Raw genomic sequence first — 25,732 nt, forward strand, 5'->3', positions numbered from 1 at the left:
CTAATACTACCAAAATGAAATCTGAACTACATTCAATCTCCATGCTTAAGGCACAGTCTTTGCTTACTGCATCTGTTGCTATGAAACAATAAATATTTTAGGATCCCTCTAACTGTAATACAATTGGATATCAAATAAAACTGACATTGATATAAATTTGGCATTACAAAAAGTGGATATTTTCCCTAAGGAACCTCTTATTTCATGCCCTGTGGTAGTCATTAGTGCTGTTCGCTGCACATTCTGGTTCTCCTTTTAGGAATACAGAAAAATTGCTATTCCCCTTGAAACTGGACCCAAATTTTCTTTGCTGTGACCAGTGAGGTTCTAATGGAAGTGGTATTTATTGTTCCCAGATAGAAATATTTATTTGCCAGTGAGAGATCCTTCCACTCCGTCTTCCCCTTGCCAGGTGGAAAAGTACATTTCAAAATGGAGCCTCCATTAGTCTATGTCCCTGAGTGACTGTCAGAACCTTCCTGCCACTCATGACACATTATACACGTAGCAGAATCAATAAGTAAACCATTATTGCAAAAAGCCACAGAGGTTGAAAGGATTTGTTATTACATCCTAACCATCCTACAGCCATTCCTGACACACAAACCCAAACACACAAATAAAGGAAAAAGCTATGAGATGAAACAAAGTGAGATGACCTGCAAAAAAGGCAGTAATAAGATTAGATTGTTGGAAAATGCCAGTATCAGCTCTGCAGATGGATTTTTAAATAAAAATTTGGAGATTTGAATCTGGGACTCCTCCATTAGACCTGAACCCTCTACTAGGGCCAAAGGGGCTTTTCAGGGTCACTGTGGATGATTTTACAAGATGTACTTACACAATTTCACAACATTCAGTAATAAGCTATTCACAACCTAGAAAGCATAGACTTGAAAATTTATCATAGCAATTTTCAGGGAGATAGAAGTAAAGTATTTTGTTTTAACACTATCAACAGCATAATTTCTTAAAAGCTGGAGATCAAATGTCCTAAGATGAGTCACATTTTCCAGTGCTCACACATGTAACATATAAGCTAGCAGCAGCACTTAATGGTTTCACGTTAGTACCACTTGCTTATTCCCAGCAAAAGCAGATCAAATGCTCTCTGGAGGAAATAATCTTCAGTTTAATTCTGCAGGATACCCAAAGAAAAATTGAATTTACACTCACAAATCACTCAACACAACAGAAGTAAACCGCCATTAGTGAGAGTCCACACTCACAATAACCAGTCATTGTAAATGAACTAAACTCATAATTTTTAAAGTAGTATTATTATAATAGACATATAATATTTTATTTTAAGGGAATACATAACTTTCATTTTATTTTAATATGTATGTTTTCTACTACATACAACAACATAGGGGTTGAAGTAAAAAGAAGGAAAAAGTATACTAGGCAAGTAACAATCAAAAGCTGATGTTTCTATATTAATATGTGACAAAATTGATTTAAGATCAAAAAGCATTACTAGAAGTAAAAGAGGAAGTTGCATTATGATAAATGTTTATTTAATCAGTAAAACATGAATTGTAAGCTTTATTCTCCTAATAAAACAGCCTCAATATATAAAAGAAAACTCAATATAACTACATATCATCTTAAGCACTGAAAGAATAAACAGACAAATATAAGGATCAACAGATTTGAACAAAAACATTAACGAGCTTATCAGCCCAACTATTATGGAATATAGATTCTTCTAAAACACATTTGAGACATTTGCAAAAATTGATATTATGTTAGGCTGAAAGCAAGAATCAGTAAATTTTAAGGAAGCAATATTAAACAGTCATATTCTCTTTCCTATATATGATTAAATTAAAGGTAATTAATTAATTTAAAAGTTCCATAACCTGAGACAATTAAAACGCACTTCTAAGTGATTGAGTAGCAGCGATGTTCAAAATATTTAACTTCTGTGGCAAGTGTTCTAGTAAATTAGAATAAATATTTGCCATAAACAACCAGTGTGGCCATAGTAATTAGTGTGTGCCAGCAGTGTCAGCCCTTGCTCATAGGTAAGAGAAAAAAATTACAAACAAAAAAATTAAAATTACAACCCCCAAATTAAAATCTCATAAAACCATGCTTAAGACTGCAGCCAGTAGTACAGCTGTATTACTTGTTTATAGTTGGTGTCCATTCTGATCGGGTGGCAGCTATGCCATAGTCTTTGTTAAATACATTCACTATTAATCCTGCTAAGAAATAAAGTGTACTTGAATAATGCATATTAACCTTTACCAGGTTCAGAAAAAGTAACTTTTTCTGGAAAATGTTTATACTTAAATTCTTGTAGAAAACTTGACTTCATAAGGAAGAAAAAAGGAAGGAAACAAAAGGAAAGAAAGACAATGAGAAGGAACAATCTAAGTAATTTGAATTCAGAGAGGATATGCTAAGCATTTTGCTATTTATTCATATTATACTATTTCTAATTAAATCTTCATAGTAATAGTGAAAATTATATTTTCTTGTTCTTAATTTACAGCTGAAGAGACTAAGATTCCTAGAGGTTCTAAGTGGAAAAGCTATGTTTCTTTTCTCTAGATGCCTGCTAGTCAGGAGGGAAACATCTGAAAGTCCAGTTGCTTCTGAGTCATGAAAAATAATCCAAAGGTATTAGAAGGCAAGAGAGTTAATAAAGAGAGTTAAGTTACTGGATTTTACCTTGGTATTTCTCTAAAGCTGTTAAACTGGATACTTAGATTAATTCGGGGGACTATGATGACCAAGTCCTGTGATGATTGTGGCCGTGATGTAGAGTGGATAATAGTTTGACCTTTTCTTGATCCCAGTATTGCATCATCCTCTTGAGAAATTTATGGATATCCCTGTACTCACAGGTAAAGGACAGTAAGCGCTAGGACCAAGGGCTTTAACCAGAAAAACTGCTGAATAAACCTGGGGTCATGGGTTTTCAGCGCGATGTACTTTAGGGAAGATGAGAGGGTGCAAGAAATTTTTGTTAATTAAGAGAGACAGAAAAACTTAGTGGTAAGGAGACTAAATATGTTGTCAAACTGCTTAGATTGGAATCTCACCTCCACATCTATCTTGCTTGCCTATGCAAGTGATTTAATGTCTTTGAACCTCAGTTTTCTGATGTACTGTGAAGGTTAAATGTACCAGCTCACTCATCCACATTTACAGCATTTCTCTCACTGTAGAGAAAGGATGCTTAGTTCAACAAATCAAGGAGGTGGAGAAATAGGGGAGGTTAATTATAAGCAGGTTTACTTGAGGTGATAGCGAATCACCAGGTTGATGGAATCCAGCCGGTATATGGAGATGCAAATTAAAACACTAATGATGGACATTCCATTTGATGCTATAGATGGTGTAATTCTTGATGCAAATATTATAGGTAATGCAGAATATGAGAAAAGTAGAGCAACCGTTACTAACTTCACCCCACCTTCTAAAGAAGAAAGAAATACAAGCACTAAAAGAGAGGCAAGCAGGCTGTCCAAGGGGTGGAAAAAGAGGCATGGCTATGTAGTCTCAGAGATCACAAAATGAAGAGCCTCCAAAGCCAAAGGGACTAACCTAACTCTAAGAATGGATATTAGAGATACTAACATCAAAAATATCAGAGATACCCGTGTAGAAAGAAAGACTCTGACCCAATGAGTTCAGAAATGGTTCCTCTTGGGCATATTGGAGAGGAAACTCTACACCAGTGAAAAGTCCAAAGTTGTCAAGATCAGTAGGACTCTAAACAAAGACGATAGAGCAATTATTTTGCTGAGCCTAGAGAGGAAATTATTTTGACTGTCTCTGGACCAACATCCATAAGGTTTCTAGAGAAATGGGAAAACGAAGAAGGCGACTTTTCCTCGTTGCAAATTAATTAAAAATGAAACAACCACTTCAGTGACTTATGTTTTCTGTAGCTCAGGTAAGGGAACACATTAGACATCATTTATGTCACAAATACATTTAATCCTCATAAAAACCTGAAGATATACATAATTTACACAATAAAGAACAGGTAGTCCAAAAAAGTTATATGAATTGCCCTAGGTCATACAGCTAGGAAGCCACACTGTGGAGGGTGGAGTGCAACTAAAGAGATTCCAAAATTCATACACTTCTTATTACCGCACCGTAGCGCTCCATTTTTTTCTGATTGCTAAAAGACCTGCCAAGACCTCTCTATCCACCTCTGTAGCAAATAGATAATGACAATGTACAGCTCTATATGACCTTTAACCGTGTAAAACAGAGTGCTTCCAGACAGGCCAACCAACTCAGGAAGACCATTTCTTTTCTATTTGTTATCTCTAGCCTGGTAATTTTCTCCCACAGGAATATAAAACACAGTCTAATATTTACACCTGAGCAGGCAACTACATCTCAAAGGACATCATTAAAAGCTGACTGACCTACTTCTCTCTGGTACAAATAGGTTACATAGGGATGATATCCCACGTGCCTGCTAACAGTCTAAAGTCAAGCTTGTTAAAGTGAACTTGTAACTTTTTAACAACACTCTTCCCTCCACAAGTTTTCTGAAGGGAATCTAGGGCTGTTCCTAGGAGATTGATTTCTCCTCTTTAGTTGTAACTAAACAATAAAAAAGGAGCGTATGAGATCATCATGTGGAAAATTTAAAATGGATAATCACTTTATTCTTGGTAAAGAGAGCGGTCCTCTATGAACTGCCATCACCAAGTCATTTAGAAAATGTAATTAGACAGGCTAAAGAAGACTTATTCCAATAGAGACATAGAGTCACAAACTAGTGAGAAAGGGAATATGATAACACATGTATTTTGTTTGGTCACATGGAATTAATGAGATTTGCCACAGTCCTCACCCTTCTATATTGCTTCACATCCAGTCTGTTTCATTCAAATACATCAATTGCATAGCAGTGAAGATATTTGAGTTTGTGACCCCAGAATACATTAAATTATTCAGGTATTTCAATTTCATCCTGGGAAATTAATTCAGGGCCTACATAATTAATGTTATGATTTAAAAAAAAAAAGAATTAGAGTTGTAAGGAAATAGAATGGATCCAACTTTTGGAATGGAGAGTTTTTTCTCCTGCACTGTTCACATATCCAGGACAGCCATGGGATGGAACAATATAAAGGACAATCCTGCAGCACCAAGGATAGGATTCATTAAGACTTTTTTTCCCAACTCTGATTTACGTAATCTACAAAGACACTTAAAGATGGCACAAAGTAAGAGCACAGGGCCAGTAAGATGACTGGCAAATAAACAAAGAATGGTAAGTAAATGATCATACTAATCAGCATGCCTTTGTAATCTGACTATCCATCATGCTGATTCAGAATCACTGTGGAAACTATGACCACCCCCAAACAACAAACTGTTTATTCATCTGAATCTATATAGGTGATATTCTATTAAGTGAGGATACCCAAGCTTTCTAGCAGAGGTTGTATCATAAGTATCTATGAGATGCTTCATTGAGAGTATATTATATTGAATATAACACAAATGTGAGCAAGTGTTCAAGGGTTGATCATGCTGCTTAACTTTTTGTCATGATTGCTCAAATTTGTGATGAAATTTGAGAACTTAAATTTGAATGTCTCAAATAATTATACCATTATTAACATTATTTAGCACCAATCGCAACTAAAAATGTATCTGTATCTGTCCCTTTGACATCTGGTAGCATTTGACACAGGCATCTGCAGTGAGAAGGGAATTGGACCATGCTGACCTTCCATCTCCAGTGTTTCTGCCATACTATGCTCTTCACCCACCCCCACTTCACGCAGAGCTCCAGGAGAAGCATGATGCTCTAGTTCAGCCCTGGCTATTGGGTTGGTTTGAAAGAGCTCAGGTCTTTTAGGGAGCTGAGGCTCTAGGACATACTAGTGAATGTTGCTGGAATGACAGTCCTGAGCTTTGGAAGTATGAGCCATGCTTCTCTCAAACATTTTCTGGTTTATTTTATAGGAACCTGTGCTGCATGTGAAAAAGAAGAACATGTAGTCAGATTGTAGCATTTTCTCTCATTTTGAGACAAATTTCACTGTCCAGAAGAGTATTCTCACAAGACACCAAGTTGTGACCATTTCCCAGTTTGCTATGATTGCGAAACTAGGCCCTGACAGGGATTTATTTTTTAATTAAGAAGTAAGACATAGGCAACAATCAATCATTTAACAAATCTCAGCTGGTATGACATGCTGATAAGCAGAGTAGTGGTTTGAAATGTATCACATTTTGAGAATATCTGCCATGCAACTACCTGGAAAATACACTGAAGGAAGGGAATAGTGGAAGTTGAGAGACCAGTTAGGAAGCTGATGCAAAATGCCATTTTATCTTATTTACAATTGTCAAGATTGAATATATTCAAGGTATATATGTATACATTGTGTAATGATTATCAAAATCAAATTAATTAACACATCCATCACCACCTATGCTGTACTTTAGTTATCTTGTTCATCTTTTTTTTTTTTTTTTTCCGAGACAGGAGCTCACTCTGTCACCCAGCCACGGGTCACTGCAACCTCAATCTCCTGGGCTCAAGTGATCCTCCCACCACAGCATCCCCATAGCTGGGACTACAGTCATGCACCCCCTTGCCCAGCTAATTTTTTGTAGAGACGGGATTTCACCATGTTGCCCAGGCTGGATCTTGTTCACCTAATAACTGGAAGTTTGTACCATCTGACCAATACCTCCCCATTTTCCCCACTCCCAACCCCTGGCAACCACCATTCTACCTCTGCTTCTATGAGTTTGACAGTAATGCCATAATAAGCAGGAACTCAGGACTCGTCAGAGTTGTGTCCTACTCATCTTTGTGCCTACTAACGTGCTTGCTGAACTACATTGACGTGAATACACTTACCAAAAAAAAAGAGCCTCTTCTAATTTAGATGAAATTATCTTAGACAACTTGCTAATACTTTGTTTAATCAAATTCAATAAGTTTATAATTTTGTCTATTAGAAGCAATACATATTTTTCTCAACTCATCAGGAATAGATTTCATTCTTTGGAAACAGTGATTCATTTTGATATTCTTTCCACTGATTTATATAACTTCATACTGAAACAAAATGATTTCATGTCTGTTTTATTTACCAAAATCAATTGAAAGTGATTATTTTTGGCATCAATATTAAGCAAACTATACTCAGATTCACTGATTTATAATCAAATGTAACAATGTTAACCGTTTTTTAAGGAATTCCTATTAAATGCCAAGAATCAAGATAATCACCCTTTAAACTTTACCACATAACAGTCCTGCAAGATTATTATAACACTAATTTTATAGCTTATTAGAGGTCATCAAGCTACAAATCAGGAAACTGAGGTCCTAATCCATGTATTTCCAACTCCAAAGTCATTCTCCTTCTGTAAAAGCAAGGTGCATATTTACAGTCATCAATACTTTTCTAATCAATATAATTAGAAGAGTGGCAAGCACTCTTACTGAGTATCTACTATGCCTCCATAACGATGTTAAATTCTTCATATGCATAACCTCATTAATTCTCAGGATAACAACATCAGGTAGGCATTTTTAAGTTTCTAATTTCACATATGAGGAAATTGAAGCTTATAGAGGTGCAGTAACCTTCCTAAGATCATAGAAGCAGTGTTTGACAAAGTGGGGCTAATTCCAGAATCTGTGCTCTTAAAGAGTTCATTCTTAACTCTTACATGACAGAGAGTGCTTTGCTCCATAGAGTCCTGTAAAACCAGTAACCACAAGCAGTATGCATAGGAGGGGTCCTTATTTATCATAGAGAACCTCACATTCCTAAATAGTCTCTTCAGCAATACAAGTACTTAATTATTTTTTTAAAAACACATGGAGAATGGCTGAAGGAACATAGAACAATAGACCAGACCAGGACAGGAACAGCTATCTGTAAATACTTAAAAAAAAAAAAAAAAAAAACAAAAAAAAACTGTCCTCACTCCTGTAATCCTAGCACTTTGGAAGGCCAAGGTGAGAGGATCACGAGGTCAGGAGCTCAAAACCAGCCTGGCCAACATGGTGAAACCCCGTCTTTACTAAAAATACAAAAAAAAATTAGCTGGGCACGGTGGTGAGCGCCTGTAATCCCAGCTACTTGGGAGGCTGAGGCAGGAGAATTGCTTGAACCCGGGAGGCGGAGGTCGCAGTGAGCTGAGATCACAGCACTGCACTCCAGCCTGGGTGACAGAGCGAGACTCTGTCTCAAAAAAAAAAAGAAAAAATAGCTGTCATGAGAAAAGTCTGTATTTTTTTGTTGTTGTTCTACAGGGAAAAAGAGTTGCATACAGACAGTTATATATCAACATATCTATATATCTATACCTATAGATATATAATATATATAGTTGACTGTAAATAACTTTCTAATAATTAGAATTGTACAAAAATAACTTGTGTGGCCTCAGGAAGTGTTCTAATCACCACTAGGTCTGCAGGCAGAAGTAAGGTAGTCACCAGCCATACTGTAGATGTGTTTCTGTCATCTCATAAGGTTTAGGACTAGGTTTAAGATAATTTCCACCTCTAAGATCCAATTATGTAGAACTTGATTATTTCACTGGTATGATTGTATTTCAGTATGTATGTAATTATCTTTACCTCTACTTTCATAATTCATTATTGAGGTGATTAAGGTTATGCAAAACAATAGAAACACCCCCTTAAAGAATGTTATAATTATTATTACAGAATTGTTTATAATAGTAAAGAAATGAAAGGAAGATAAATCCCCATTAATTGAAAATAGATCAAATAAAGCTTGAGATATAAATAGAACAGAATACTATGTGGCCTTTATAAATCATGTGTTCCCTGAGTATTTGATAATATGTAAAAAATTACTTGTGATATAGTGTTGAGTATAAAAGGATGCAAATTAAAAGTAAAGGTAGAAGAAATATTATAACCTGTAATATAAAGTTACTTATGTTTATCTTTAAAATTTATGACCCTATCTTTTTCTACCATGTCCAAGTTTATATCAAGGCTGATCACAGAGTCTAGCCCATAGCAGGTATTAAATAAATATTTTGTGAATGAATAAGGGGGGAACTGTGAGACATAGCTTTAATAATCCATTTTGGAAAAATCAGTTAATATTTTTACAATGTAAATCTGGTCTATGCCTGAGACATAAAACAACATAGTTATCATATGGATGGAACGAAAAAATAAGTCATAGAAGAATATTTCATTGAGGCTTTTTCATATCATATTAAAATCTTACCTCAATTTTTTTAAAAGCATGTTAAAAATAAGAAGAAAAGACACAGTTTGAAAGATATTTGCAGAAAATTTGAAGAGCAAAGTGTTAATCATATAATCTAATTAATAGTTCATACATTGAAGAGGAGAGAGAATATAATAAACACAAAGAAAATGTTCAATCTAACCACCAATCTTAGAAATAAAATATAAAACAAAGTAACATTTTATACAAATAGAAAAGAATACATATATTTTCTGGTTCTAGAAAATGTACAAAGAATGTTCTGTGCAAATATTTCAAGAAAAATATGAAGTGTAATTGGGGGAAACAATTCTGCCTGTGTACTAAGAATTCTCTCATAATTCATATCTTTGTATTCTGTAGTTCTATCTCCAGAAATTTATCTTATCTCTAGTTGAAGCAACAGCAGATTAGATAGCCAAGTACATAGATATCAATCGTAATTACATAAAAATCTCAAAAAATTAAAAAATATGCCCAATAATATGAAAATTGTAGGCTATAGTAATTCCACTTAATAAAATATTCTTTAAATATTAAAAAAGAATATTACATACACTATAAAAAATGCAAAATCACAGAAAATTATTGATGTAAAGTGGCAAACGCTAACTAAAATTTATTTCTGCTGCAATTCTACTGGTATAAAGAAAAATGTTTGCATGTTGTCTGGAATTAACAAAAATATGAAAAACAGAAAGAATTTAAACAGTTGAAATGTAGGATTCTATAGAGTTAACTTAGTATTATTTACGCAGTACAAAAAAAATCAAATCTGTGAATTTGTGAGAAAAGTTTAACTTTTCTGAGAACTTTCGGACATTCTAACTGGAGCCCCAACTTATTATAATGCCATCAAATACAGATATATTCAATGAATACTCCAAGAAATGTATGGCTGGGGAAGGTTTTCTTTAGATCAGAATAACTGAGTCTTTGGAATATGCAGAAGTCAGGAACTGTATCCCTAGAGAATCCTATAATTTTTTTACTTACAACCTTAGGGACGGAAGAAGTTTGTAAAAGTAATTGCTGAATTCACCTCCAAAAAACTTGAGTCTCCCTTGAGTAAGCACCAACTTAAGAACAAATTATGGGAAAACTAGAGTTACATCATTGATCATTATGCTTAATATATTTTATTTCCTTGATATCCTCTTAAGAATATTCACGTACAGCCAAATTGCCTGATTGTGCCTACTCTTCCTCACATTTCTTTTTAGGAAAGAGGAGGCACCGTATCCAAATTGAGAATCTTCTGGTATCATCTGAAACGTACAAATGAAATTCAAATTCCTGGGAATTTTTTCTATTACTTAACAGCATGGAATGGTATGGATGATTTTAAAACCCAGTCAGGAGGAAAGATAAAGAGAGAAGTTTTTATTATGATTATTTCAAAAGAAAAACATCTTATCAACAAAGATTTTTGAGTTGACATGGTCATTGCTTGTGGTATTTCAAAAATATAAATATTTAATATATATATCAAGGAAAAAAATGCAAAAACTCAGTCATCACCTACCAGACCAGGAGATTTTATTTAAATTTTTCTCTTTAATTCCAAAATAATCCAGTGGCGTGCAGTCTCTTTTGAGATCACAGAATTAATTCATGTGAGGAAAAGAAAGTTGTTTACAATGCAACAGACTCATAAATAATAGGCTAATGGTTATTGTACTCAAGTATCTGGTCCACTAAGTCTTAAGTAACAGTAACATGGAGAAAGAACACACGGCAATTTATATATTATTCATATATAAACTATGCCTAATAAGGGTTTGAGAAAGCATATAATTAAAGGTATTTGCAGTAAAAATAGAATTAACAACAAGTAATATGAAAGAGAGGTGAGAAATAATTATAACTGAGTGTTAGTTCGAACCCCAGGCAGCCAGGGTAAAAGAAAAAACATTAAATTTTTGTGAGTTCTTATTTACATAATAAATCAAATTCCACTATACTAGCCCTTAATTTCCCACAATAGACCTGAAAGGAATTTGGGGTAGGCTTTCATTTGAAGTCATTATTGTAGATAATGTCTTTATAAATGGTTTCCAAAAGGGGTAAATTTATTCTCTATGTGCATAATTATCATAAAGACCCTTTTTGAAAGTTCATCTAATTAAATTGTGGTTTTATAAAATTTTTGTACTTTAAAATAAGTGAACACTGCAGAACAGTGGTATCCTTTACTACTATCAGATATTGAACATTTTCTGCATTGATCCCGCTGGGAGCTACAGACCGGAGCTGTTGCTATTCGGCCATCCTTTGAAATCTCAAATTAGTTTCTTTGTAAAAAAAAAAAAAAAAAAAAATTCATAGTAGTATTTGGGTTATTTTGACAATTAAGTGATAAAAATTATATGAAATGTCAAATACATACTAATACTTCACATGTTATAAATTGCCCTTCCCTTTGTGAGCTAAAATAATATGTCTTTCCTCATGGTGTATTAATTGAGGGTTAGAGTATATCTATAAATTGATAGTTGGCATGTCCATTAAACTTTGTGTAATATCAATGGTCTTAACTGATCTCTTTAGAAAAGCTGGAGATTACAAGATTGTTTCTTCTAGGGAGTATTTAGGATACAGATGTTACACGGTTTTGCTGAAAAAAAAATTAGTACTTTAAATATTAGGCCTTCAAGTAGCTAAGTTAATAAAGCAAAGCAAAACAAGGTTAGATGTTTTTCTAGAAAGTTAGAGTTTGACTTCTGGCTTGAATTAAAAAGTCACAAACTTTGCTTAGGCCTATTGCAACACTAAAGCAGCCCCAGAGCATTGAATCATAGACTGGTTGTTTCTTACAGGGGCTGGGAGAGAGGGATTTGAGGTGGCAGGATTCCAGCTAGTTTAAAGCCTGCTGCAAATACAAACTTCATCTTCTAGTAACAATTCTGTTCTAGGCATTAATGGTCTGCAATCTCCTTTGAGATCCTCTGATTAAGTTAGGAACTCAAGTTCTTTATCTTGGTTACCTCCAGAAAATAATAAAGACTGTTACCCAGAAGATTTTAAGTGTAGGGATATAAATGCTCTAGATCCAATACAAAAACTAGTGAGTTCCTGTGGATAATTGGAAAGGACACACCGGCACAATTCAGCCACATTGTGCAATCTCTAGACAAAATTGCTGTACTATTTCAATTGTTTCAACATTTTTTACTCTGAGTTAGTCTTCCTAACATAAGTATAGACAACTGCTTCAGCATTTTTCACTTTTGTTTACATTTTACTTTTATATATATTTATTTAGAAATGTAGATATTCAGAAAAGTAGAAAAAAGTTATCTAAAATAACCATTCACATTTTGGATATTTCTTTCCAGTCTTTATTTTCTGTCTGGGTTACCTTGGTTTGTTTAGGTTTTGGTTTTGCACACAATGTTATAATATAAACTTTTGTTTCTGTTTTAACTTAATTATCTTAAGATAATTTAAACATGACTTTTATGTTCATACAAACTCCTCACAAACATCATATTAATAGGTGCGTAAAGGCCCATTACATGAGTGTACTATGATTATTCAACAATTCCACTAACATTAGACAAAAATAAAAACTATTTTAAAAGATAATATCCAATAATAGCAAAGATCTGGAAAGAATAAAATTATTTGATACTAGAAGTCCCATGGAAAGTGATTTATTAGAAACTATTCAGCATCTTAACAATCTTCATTCCCTGTTCCCAAGAAGATTCTGGGAATCCATGTTAGGAAATTAAACCTAAGGGCAGAAAAACTGTAGGCACAACGCCTACAGGGTGTTTGTTGCTCTCTTCTTAAATTACACCAGCATTGCAAGAGTAATTCAAATAATTTATTCTATATTTTAATCTGAATAAACTTTAATTTATTATAAAGCGTCCATTATCCCTTTTTTCCCATTTGAAAGCATCGAAGCAGACTGGTGATTTCTCTTATAAGTATTTGCAAGTGAAATTATGATTGCAGCAACCATCTTAGGGCTGTTAGGATACTATTTATACCATAATTATTTTCCAAAATTAATTTCCAAATAGGAATCAATGTTTAGATGTTTCAACAAAAGAAAAGAGAGGGCAGTGTACCTGATTCATATCTTGCCTGAAAAAACTTCAATGCAGAGAGGCCTCTATGAAAATTTCATTGACAGATTCAGAGTAGGTTAATATATGCAGCTATAGTCATTCAAATTCCTATCTTACTACCAAAAAAAGTGTATGCTGGCCTACCTAACACTTTCTACCTTCTTTGTAATTTATGCCTAGAAAGTGGGATGCAGCTTGAACTAGTTGAAAGCCCTCATTTCCATAGCCAATAGACATATAAGCATCCAGCCAGGCGTAGTGGTTCACGCCTGTAATCCCAGCACTTTGGGAGGCCAAGGGGAGCAAATCACTTGAGGTCAGAAGTTTGAGACCAGGCTGGCCAACATGGTGAAACCCCATCTCTACTAAAAATACAAAAATTAGCCAGGCATGATGGCAGGCACCTATAAACTGGCTGCTTAGGAGGCTAAGGCAGGAGAATTGCTTCAACTCAGGAGGCAGAAGTTGCAGTGAGCCAAATCACGCCACTGCACTCCAGACTGGGTGGCAGAGTGAGACTCCGTCTCAAAAAAAAGGAAAAGAAATACAAGCATCCTTTTACGCTGACTATGTTGCCTGACCATTGTAAACTGGAGTTTTCATAGAAAGCAGCACAACTTGTGGGCAAATGACTAGCACAGAAATGGCAAATCCTGTACCAGAAACAAAGCCATTTGTTTAAAATATTAAGTCAAAATTCATTCATTGTATCAATTTTTTTCTGCTAGGGATATATTTTAAAGCTAGATAGAATACCATGAGGATGTTGAGATGTTTTCAAAATGATATTCTGTGATTTATTTGCTGTAAAGAAGAAGGTAATCTGCTAATACCTACGCTTTAAGTTTTTTCAGATTAAAGTCATTTGTTCCATGTTCTTTGGTGCACTACTCAGGTGCCTGAACTGGACTAATATTCCTTCTTTAGAAAAATACCAGCCCTAACTGCAAATTCATCAAGTAGAAGAGGAATGAATTTCATATGGACAGAGGTAAAAGGCAGGTTCTTCTCTGTGCAATTTGGTTGCTTGCATATATAACCAGAATTGATTGCAATAAACTACACAGAGGTATCTTCATGTTTCAGCAGTGTTCAGTTTAGCATTGTCTATTGTCCAATTGCTATTTTACACAAAATTGAAGTAGCAAAGCACTCCAGTGATATTGGAGTCAGATGGTCTGAAAGGCCTTGCTACTCAGGTATGTTCTGTAGACAAGCAATATCAGCATCACCTGGGAACATGTTAATAAATGCAGGACTCAGAACCACCACAGATTTATTGAATCAGAATGTTTTACAAAATTCCCCACATGATTTGTATGAAGACCAAAGTTTGAAAGCACTCCACAAGATAGCTGGGTCTCTTCCTCAGTTGTAAATTAAAATCATGTGAAGAGTATTATAAAAAAAGAAAAGATGCCTGATTCCCACCCCTTCGATTGAACTTACATCATTTTGGGAGGGTTATAAGGTATAGTTTTAAAAAAAGGGATTTAAAAACAAAAAAATGAAGCTTTGCATAACAACTCCCTCCCTTACTATAATTGTATATAAGTTTCTCAATAGTCTTCATTTTCTTCAGAGAATTATAATAAAATGAATAATATAAGAACATATTTGTAAACTATAAGAAACTAAGCCAATGGCATTGTTATTTGCATGGTATAAAATCAAATTACAAATCTTTTTCAAACAGATTAAAGCATGCTCTCTTCAAAATATTGATTTTCAAAGTGGGATCTGTGGATCAACTGCATGAGAAGTAACAGATGCTTGCTAAAAATGCAAATGAGTCCTCCCTGCCTCATACCTCTTGCATCACAATCTCAAGAAATGGAATACAGAGGCCTGCAATTTTTAATAAACTACCAATATAACTAACATGTGTCTTCAATTCACTGCTTTATGAGCTAGAAAAGGAATCCCAGAAGCTAACCTCAAAGCTGTTACCACCACTCTAGCTAGCGGAGATACACTTGCCCCTCCCACACCAATTATCTCTCACTTCATATGTTAATGCTGTACAGACTTGTTAAACTCCAGGTATGAAAAAATAACATGGAAAGGACCAATTGGACAGAGATAGAGTTCATTCTGCAAGGACTTTCAGGGTACCCAAGAGCTGAAAAATTCCTTTTCGTGATGTGCTTAGTGATGTACCTGGTGATTCTCCTAGGTAATGGCACCTTGATCATTCTGACACTCCTGGATGCTCGTCTCCACACACCCATGTACTTCTTCCTTGGGAATCTTTCCTTCCTAGACATTTGGTACACATCCTCCTCCATCCCCTCAATGCTGATACACTTCCTATCAGAGAAGAAAACCATCTCCTTCACTAGATGTGTGATTCAAATGTCTGTCTCTTACACTATGGGATCCACCGAGTGTGTGCTTCTAGCAGTGATGGCATATGACCGTTATGTAGCCATCTGCAACCCTCTGAGATATCCCATCATCATGGGCAAGGCACTTTGTATTCAGATGGTGGCTGTCTCTTGGGGACTAGGCTTTCTCAACTCATTGACAGAAACTGTTCTTGCAATACGGTTACCCTTCTGTGGAAAAAAATGTCATTAATCATTTTGTTTGTGAAATATTGGCCTTTGTCAAGCTGGCTTGCACAGATACTTCCTTGAATGAGATTATTATAATGTTGGGCAATGTAATATTTTTGTTTTCTCCATTACTGCTGATTTGTATCTCCTACATCTTTATCCTTTCTACTGTACTAAGAATCAATTCAGCTGAAGGAAGGAAAAAGGCCTTTTCCACCTGCTCAGCCCACATGACAGTGGTGATTGTGTTTTATGGGACAATCCTCTTCATGTACATGAAGGCAAAGTCCAAAGACTCTGCTTTTGACAAACTGATTGCCCTGTTCTATGGCATAGTCACCCCCATGCTCAATCCTATCATCTATAGCCTGAGGAATACAGAGGTGCATGGAGCTATGAGGAAATTAATGAGTAGACCCTGGTTCTGGAGGAAATGATGACACACTGACACCTTTGAGTTTATGCACAAAATACGCTCACAAGTTTGAGACAACACTTTTAAAGATAGACAGAAGAAAAGCAATTAAGGTCATGTTGAGTCAGAATTTCAGAGTTAGAAAAAATTTGAAGATTAAGAGTTTAACGATATTGCTTTATGAAAATGACTGATTTCATTAAAATGTAGAAACAAGTGGTCTGTGAGAGCAAACTTTTGGAAACAAGAAAAATATTTTAAGTAAGTCTTTCTAAGAAAATCCAGCTCATTAATTTTAACAATTAAAACACATTTTTCAGCCTCTTTTAAAAAAAACTATTTTGTATTTTTGTTCTTTTATTCTTGCTTTTTATTTTATCCAGGGACTGGATCTGGTCCCATCTTTCCCTTCCAGCTACATATTTCAACCTCTTTCCCTGTCCTTTCCCTCCCCCTACCTCTTTGCATAAGCTGTGTTCTATTTACTATGTAATTACCAAATTATATCATTTTCTTTCACACCTAATGACAATAGCACATGCTATTCCATCTGCATTTTCACATTTCTCCTTCTCAGGTGAAATCCTAACAATCTCATAAAGGACAGGTCAAGTGTCATATTCTCTGCAACACAGTCCAAAGCTTTCCCAGAGTTAGCTATTCCCTCCTCCGTGCTGCCCTGGAGTTTATCTGTACTAAGCGATTTTTCTTTTATACTCTAATCATTTATTACCTTCCGAAATTCTTCCCAATAGCAGAACTATGGCTCACTATCCTCCGCATAAAATCTAATGTCAAGTTAATTAAAAACAGTTGGCAATAATTAACTGTTGAATTAAAAATTTTAAAGGATGGTAAAATACGGTCTAAGTACCTGATTTAATACAGGGAGATAACTGAAATTTATACATTATTCCCTTTACCAAACTACAATTCTAAAAGATTTTGGTAAAATAACAGCTGATTTTTAAACATGGAGAAAAATAAGGGAAGATAAAGTCTGAATAGAATATACTGAAGAGATCATTTTGGCTAGGTAAGACCAAAAATCCTACTGCTTATTATTATCAAATAAGCAATTGCTGAGGAAAATATATCAATTGTATAAATTCTTATGGAACACTGACAATTTCAATTTCTTTCAAAAGCAATAGTCTCATTTAAAATATTTTCATTACAGTCTCATTTAAAATATTTTCCTTTCATTAGAAAAAACCTTGGACTGGCTAGTGAATAATATATAGTTGTATTTTTTAGAAAATATATATTTGCATAATATATAGTTGAGCTGCCTGGTACACTATCATAGCCTGAGCTGGGTGAGGAACTCAGCTCAGGCTATGAGCTGAGGCTATGAACTTACTTGTTCAGTAAAACCAGTAAAGATTTTTATAACCCAATGGCATTGAGAAAGGCATCCTTACTTGCTCTGCCCAGTATGATGTTTTGGAGCCTGTCCAGAATAAGGAAGATGTCAACGTGGAAGAGAGGCTCAGTTCAGGGTGTCAAAGTCCAAGCAGCATGAAAGGAGCATACACACAAGAGGAAGGTGTGGATCCTAGCACCTGGTTGAGGACCACTCATGCAAAGAAAAGCTGAGTGATAGAAGATATTAGAACACAAGTGGGATAAGGAAAACACCTGCACACCATAGGCATGTGGTCTGGAGTGAGTTGTCAGAGTCCTCATGGGGTAAGAAAAGCATCCGTGGTGGGATGGGGAGGTTCAGAATATGGGTGTCCAAGTCTGAAAGGGGTGAAGAGAGAATCCCTGAAGAAAGACCTAAATGGAGTGAAAAGAGCTCACCTGAGGAGGGGAGAAGAGTCAAGGTGTGTGAGAAACAGATTAGGGTGAAGTGGGCATTCTTGAAGGAAACAGCTTTGCCTGAAGTGTTGGAACCCAAGCCAGTTGAGAAGAATGTCAGCAATCACAGCTCACTGCAGCCTCAACCTTCACTGGCTTAGGTGATACTCCCACCTCAGCCTCCTGAGTAGCTGGGGCTACAGGCACATGCCACCACACTCAGCTAATTTTTGTAATTTTTTGTAGAGATGGGATTTTGCCATGTTGCCCAGGCTGGTCTCAAACTCCTGGGCTAAAGTGATCAACCTGTCTTGGCCTCCCAAAGTGCTAGGATTACAGGCATGAGCCACCATACCAAGCCAGGATTTCTTTCAAGGTAAGACTACTAAAGAATAATTATTTGTGTAGATGGAGGGAAGTTAGGGGGAGAGTCTGGAAATGTTTTCATTTTGTTCTCAATTTTAAAGGATTTTTCACTGAGTATACACTTGTTGGTTGGCAATTTTTTTTCAACACTTAAAAAATGCTGTTCTTTATATTTGGTATCCATTGTTTCTGCTGAGAAGTTGCCTCTGTTTTGTTGCTGCTTCTTTGAAAAAATGTGTCTTTTTTTTCTTTTCATTGCTTTTTATATTTTCTCTTTAGAGTTGGTCTCTGAAATTTTATAACAAGGCTCTTATAGGTGGCTTTTTTTTAACTCATCCTCCTTGATGTTGTAGATCTCCTTAAATCTGTGGCTTGATGTCTTTTATAAGTTTAACAATTTCATTTGACATTTGCCATTTTTTCTTCTATTACATTTCTCTTTCTCCTCTCCCTCTGAGCAACTAGTTATATATATGTTAGACTTCCATTATATTCCACGTAGCTCTCACAGTCCTTTCTGCATTTTCCTTCCTTTGTCTTCTCCATGTGTCCAGTCTGGTTATTTTCTACCGATCTACCTTCCAGCTTGTTAAGCCCTTCTTCAACTTTGTCTATTTTGCTATTAAATCTATGTATTTAGTTCTTAATACCAGTTATTGTGGTTTGGAGGTACATAATTTCAATTTTTTTAATATAATATTAAGTTGTCTGGTGAAGTCCTCATCTTGTTATCTATGCTCACGGCAGGTTAACATTAGTTATTTTAAAGTCTGCGTCTGATTACTTCTAAATTTAGATCACCTGATGGTCTTTCAATTAACTGTTTTTGTCTCTTGGTCCTGTTTTCTTATTCTTTGTAATTTTTTTATTAAATGCCAGATATTGTAGATGAAAAAAATGTAGAATCTCTGGGTGATGTTTTATTTATCCAAAGAGGATTTACTTTATTCTCTAGTAGAAACCCAGAGTAGGGGAGATTGTCTTAGGTCAAAGACGGGTTGAAATAACTTACAGTTGGATTTCAGACTTTGTAAATATAAGCCAAAATCTAATTCACCTCCTTTTCTTAGATTCTTTTCTCCAGAGTCTCCAGAGTCCCAACTGAGATTCTGGAGATTTCATTAAAAAGCTTTTTTTTCCTTAGGTCCCAGACTCCAATTTTGATCTCATAAACACAAGAGGCAGTCACAATCTCAACTAACATTCTTAGTTATTTTTTGTACAATCCTGGCTTCTTGTTCTGACTAGGCTAGAGTCAGCAAATGCCTGATGTGGAAAACCAATGACAACGGTGGGGACCACTCATCTGCACATCCCTTCAGTTTGGGACCTTGGCCTCTCAAGAACAGGGTGTCTTAGCTGGTCCAAAGTTCATGTTTTGTCTTCCTAGACCCATGACAATGCCAAAATCTATTTTCACTTTTTCTGTCTCTTAGTAGCAGCCCTCTGCCCAGTTTCTCAGCCTATCAAGCAACAATTAAGAATCAGCAAATGTCCCAAGAGAATAAAAGAGGAGTACAGAATGTTTGGCTCATTTAAATAAACTTCTCTTTTCTTCAGAATCTTAGCTTTTCATATCCTGACTTCTACAGAAATAATAAAGTCCATTTACTTTTTATTCTACGTAGATTTTTTTACTTTTCTTAGTAGAACCATTAGCTACTCCACCATATTACGAAGTGGATGCACAATATGGTAAACCTTTTTTTTTTTTTTTACATTTTTTTTATTTGACTCCCTGGCTGGAGTATGAGCTCTATGAGAGCAAGAATGCCTGTTCTGTTTACCACTGTATCTTGTGTGCTTAGAACAGTGCTAAGGACATGTTAGGCACCAGGAAATAAATGTTTAATTGAATTGAACATTGCATTGTAAAGATTTTTTTTAAATTTTGTATATTATGATGCTTTGACATTGTAAAAAACATTCCTGGCTTGGAAGAGACTGCCCTCCATGGGCTAGTGAATTCTTAGAGATAGCAAAAAGCTCAGGTAGGAGCATGCCTCTGACATGGAAACTAACGAATCCAGAGCCATACCTTCTTTATCTGGCCCTCAAACCCCAGTTCCCAGTGACAATTGCCAGACAACCAGAGATCACTCCTTTAGCCCAAAGCCTGCAGAAATTATTCAAACCTTCCAATCCTAAACTGTTCATTGTGCCTTGACTTGCCTTTCCTGTGGAAATTCCAATAAAGGCAGTGGCCTAAACCTTCCCTGCACACCTGTTTTTTGCCTCCTGACCATCCTGGTGGCTTCCCCATGTGGCCCTGTATGATATATCATGCCCCTTATCTCTAAGACTTGTGGGTATAATAAACTTTGCTTTCCTGACCCTCTTCTGTGTCTCCTCATGTGGCTGCACCTGACTAACGATTTCCTAAAAGACTACAAAACAACTATGTTTTGGGGACCTGATATTGGATCTGTGGTGGAAGGAAGATTGCTTCTGGTTATTGCTCTGCATATGTTTAGCACTTTAGAGTGTACCAGTGCTGGCTGCCTTGTGCTATCCTATTCTTCTTATAATTGATATTCGGGATCAAAAAACATTTTAACCCTGGATATAGCTGTCACAAACACAAGCAATATTTATTATCACAGTATTTAGGAGCTGAGAAAAATAAGGTAGAATGAGAAAACTTTATTTGAAAAATTTACTGTTGCCTGGCATTGGCTATGGGCCATTTAAAACTAGGTTTTGAGTTCTGTAAAAATTAAGATTCTCTTTTCAGCAAATTGCAGAAAACATAAAATATTTTTAGCACCAAAATATTATAGCAAATGTAAAGCCAATTTCATACGAAGTGTATAAATGAGCTCCCAGGAATCCTATAAAACATTTTTCTAATGATATTAGTAAGGCAGCACAGAAGAAATGCAAATAAGTAAAAAAACACCTGGACACTATCTGGTGTATAATAAATATAAAGGAAATTACAAATATCAAAGTAAATTGTGGAAAACATCATTATAATAGAGTCTCTTGGTAGATCTTGATGTGGCCAACGTAACTGCAGTATGAGTAGATTCTGAGACAGGATTTCTTGTGCCTGGGAGACTAAGAGATGGAGGCCCAAACCTCAGTGGAAAGCTTCACCTATTTTAGCACAGACCAGGGTCAATTGTCCTGAATATTTTATGTTCCAACTTACATTCTGCCTGGAACCCAGTAATTGGAACTCATATCACGAAGCATTTGAAAACTTAAGGTGAAAAAATATACTTGAGGATAAAGCTTTCTTTTTTTTGAGAAGATGAAAAGGTTATCTATACTAATTGAGTCAGTGTTATTAACAATAAGCTGACATCCCTTCTAACTGGATCCAAACATTAAAAACTGAGCATACCTCTTTTTTTAATAAGTATGGATCTATTTATTAAATATTCTGCCAAAATGTAACAGCAGCTAAATACTTTAAAAACTGTATGTTTCTGACCAACATTTTCCATGGGGTCTAGGAAAACTAGACACAAATCTACATGTCTGCAAATTTAAAGAGTATTACAGAGAGTAATGTTCTTTAGACTCATGGAGATTTCAGCATGAAAAAATATTACAGTCATAAAAACAGGGGTACAGTCTGAGAAATGCATAATTGTCAAATCTTATTATGTTGTAAACATCACAGGGTATATTTATGCAAACCTAGATGATATAGCCTATTATACACTGAGGCTACATAGCATAGCCTATTGCTCCTAGGCTACAAAGCTGTACAGCATGCTACTGTACTGAACACTATAGGCAATTGTGTCACAATGGTATTTGTGTATCTAAAATAACAAGAAAAGTCACAGTAAAAATATAAAATTATAATCTCCTGAGACCACCATTATATGTTATCTGTCATTGATCAAAACGTTGTTAAATGGCACATGACTTTAGTTCCTTGTAGCTCTAGTTTACCTTAGATCAGCATTCATTCTGTATGCAGGGCATGGCCTCCAGAATTTCCCCAGAACCTCCAAATTTCCATGACATTGGTCTGAGCAACAAAGTGTCTTCACATAAAGAAGACACTTAATGAACTATATATGGAAACCCTGGAGACTTAATCTTTAGAACTCAAGGTAGTTCATGGCTATGATAACTCAAGATAATATTAAATAATATATTTTCCCCCAGGTTTTCATAGATAACAGAACATCAGTTTCCCCAGGCCAGTGGAGAATGAAAACTATGGCTTTTAATGTTAGTCTTTTCAGAATCATGGCAGACAACACATCCTGACATCTTCAAACTACCCCAGTATTTAGGGACCGAGAATAACATCTCATTTTTAAAGATTTCATTTTACGTAGCTTTTAGTATAATAGAGGCTGTCTGTAAGAGCCTGAAAAGGCTAATTGCAAAAAGTATATCAAGGATGTCTTATAAAGCAATGGCATATACAAATCCATAGAACAAAAAGAAGTATATGTGCAAATGTATAGCTATGAGGCAATTTTAAGAGAACTGTCGAATCCCTAGCAATGATGGGGAATAAGGGATTATTTGAAATTTTCTATTTGTCTATAGATATTATCCCATTACATTTTAATGTTAACAATAAGTTATAGGCCAAGGTGTACAAGCTCAAAATAGACTCATCACTATATACCCCTCATCTCACAAAATACAAGCCAATAAACATAATTTTCTAATAAGAGAGCTAACATGTTCCAGCAAAAAATGTAGAGTTGTTTTGTTTTGAACCCTCATTCTTTTACTTGTTATTTAATGATCACATATCATTTTAGATGAGTTGGTTGCCAATCTCTCCAAAATAAAAAAGACAACCAAAGACGTAAAAGAACTATACACTGAAAACTATAAAACATTGATAAAAAAATTGAAGAAGACATAAGTAAATCGAAAGATATTACATGTTCATGGATTAGAAGAATTAATATTGTGAAATGTCCATATTACCTAAAGCAATCTACAGATTCAATGCAATCTGTATCAAAATTCCAATGTCATTTTTCATAAAAATTGAAACAACAATCCTAAAATTTACATGGAACTAGAAAAGACCCTGCCTGGGCAAAGCAATCTGAAGCAAAAACAAAGCTGAGAGCACCATATGCTGCAGTTTTAAAATATGTTATAAAGTTATTGTAATCAAAAGAGCATGGTACTCAGATAAAAATAGACATATCAACCAATGGAACAGAATAGAAACTTATTTCCAAACACTGAAATTTATTTATTTACTTCTTTTCATTATGTATCGCAATCAGAGAAGTGTATTTTGGAGCTTTAGAACTTCGAGAGATGAATGTGAAACAGCAACGAGAACCTATCTGTTTAACCTTGGTTTCTCTAATTGATTTCCATATTGTGATTATAAAATTACTCTCACCTTTCTCATTTACTTGTTAAAATTTTTTCTTCTCAGTAGGTGTTTTACTGCCTCCTTCACATCCTTGTTTCTAAGACTGTAGATTAAAGGATTCATCATGGGAGTCATCACCCTGTAGAATATGAATATAAGTTTGTCAGTGGCATCCAAGTCATCTGAATTAAGTGTCTCTTGAGACTTGGGCTTCATGTACATGAGGAAGATGGTCCCACAGAATGTTATCACCACAGTCAGACGAGCTGAGCAGGTAGAGGAAGGTTTGCTTCTCCCCTCCGAAGAGCTAATTTTGAAGATGCTCAAAATGATTAACGTGTAAGAGACAATAATTAATAACAAAGGTGTCAATAGGAACAATGTTGTGGTCACAAGCAGGATGAACTCATTGCCTGAGATGTCAGCACAGGCCAGTTTCATGACAGCTAGAATTTCACAGGTGAAATGATTGATGATGTTATTCCTGCAGAAAGGCAATTGTACCACAAACACTGTTTGTACTGCAGAATTGACAGCTCCTATGATCCAGGACCCAGCTGCCATGGGTACATAGGCATCCTTACTCATGATGATGGGATATCTCAGAGGGTTGCAGATAGCCACATAGCGGTCAAAGGCCATCACGCCCAGAAGCACACACTCTGTTGTCCCCATGGCCAAGCTGAGGAACATCTGCACTGCACAGCCAGAAAGGGAAATGGTCTTTCTTTCTGAAAGGAAGCTCACTAGCGTGGAGGGAATAGAGGTGGTGGTGTAGCAGATGTCCAAGAAGGAGAGGTTCCCCAGAAAGAAGTACATAGGGGTGTGAAGGTGAGGGTCCAAGATGCTGATTAAAATGAGAGTACCATTCCCCAGAAGGATGACCACATACATTATGAAGATGAGCACAAAAAAGAGTAACTCAAGTCTTGGGTGACCAGAAAGTCCCTTCAGAAAAAATTCCACCAGAATGGTGTGGTTTTCCCATTCCATTTTACTCCCTCTTTAGCTTGTAAGACAGAGCATGTTAAGACAAATATTTATCTTACTCTGATTACTTTCAAGCATGTGTCAATGAATATGTGCCATAATTCCCAAGGAAAAAGAAAAATAAAATGGGAAAAGACCAAAGAAAGAAGAGAGAGCATAAAGAAAAGTCTACAGAAAAGAGGGAATTATGAATGGAGAGAGGGAAGGGAATGAATGAATGAATGAATGAATGGAGAGAAGGAAGGAAAGATAAAAGTAACATGTTTCATGCTACAGCCACTTAATTCATTTAATATCATCACAGTTCTAGGAAAGGGGTATTAGTATCCATATTTTACAGATGAATAAATCAAAGCGGATATGTTAAGTAAACTTGACCAAAGGTACATACTATATAGCAGAGCTAAGATTCAAACCGAAATATTCCTGTTGAAGTCTGAACTTTTTGTCATATTTGTCATCACATAGTAAACTGAAGGTTATAATAGAAATGAGCATTGTATTATGTAAAACTGAACACTAAACTATTTTATTGGCTATAAATCACCACACAATAGATCAATGCTCTTGTCACTCCTTGAAATTATACTATGTTACGTATATTGTCTGTCTTTCCCAGTAGAATGTAAACTTCATAAGGGCAGGTACTTATTCTTGCTTATTTCCACAGCCCCTGTAGCTAGAATAGAACAGACACCGAGGTAAATGTTCAAAAACATTTGTTGGATGCACAGACAAAATCAAAGGCAAAACAATTGCTATATTTCTTACTCTGCGCCAACCCTCTATTATTTGTTTTCTCTGTGCATTACATAATGGAGTCTGAAAAGCAAGCCTATGAGGTAATACTGTTACTCTTAGTATCACCAAGCCTATTGTGTAGAGGGGAAAATAAGGCACAGAAAAGTTAAGTAATTTGCTTAAGGTCAATTTCATAAAGACAGATAAATGAAAGAGCAAGG

General features: G+C 35.4%; 1 protein-coding gene, 1 long non-coding RNA gene and 1 pseudogene across 2 annotated transcripts in view; 1 reads left to right on the forward strand and 2 right to left on the reverse strand.

The window, feature by feature from the left end:
• The window catches only part of LOC107987105 (uncharacterized), a 217,429-nt gene that overhangs the window by 44,430 nt on the left and 147,267 nt on the right, over positions 1 to 25,732 (reverse strand). The window lies entirely within an intron of this gene.
• OR13D2P (olfactory receptor family 13 subfamily D member 2 pseudogene) lies at positions 15,378 to 16,311 on the forward strand (annotated as a pseudogene).
• Positions 23,817 to 24,773, reverse strand: OR13C5 (olfactory receptor family 13 subfamily C member 5). The gene has a single exon (NM_001004482.1). The coding sequence runs from the start codon at positions 24,771 to 24,773 to the stop codon at positions 23,817 to 23,819; it is 957 nt and encodes a 318-aa protein (NP_001004482.1).

This window comes from Homo sapiens, chromosome 9 (assembly GCF_000001405.40).
Source record: "Homo sapiens chromosome 9, GRCh38.p14 Primary Assembly".
Classification (NCBI taxonomy): domain Eukaryota; kingdom Metazoa; phylum Chordata; class Mammalia; order Primates; family Hominidae; genus Homo; species Homo sapiens.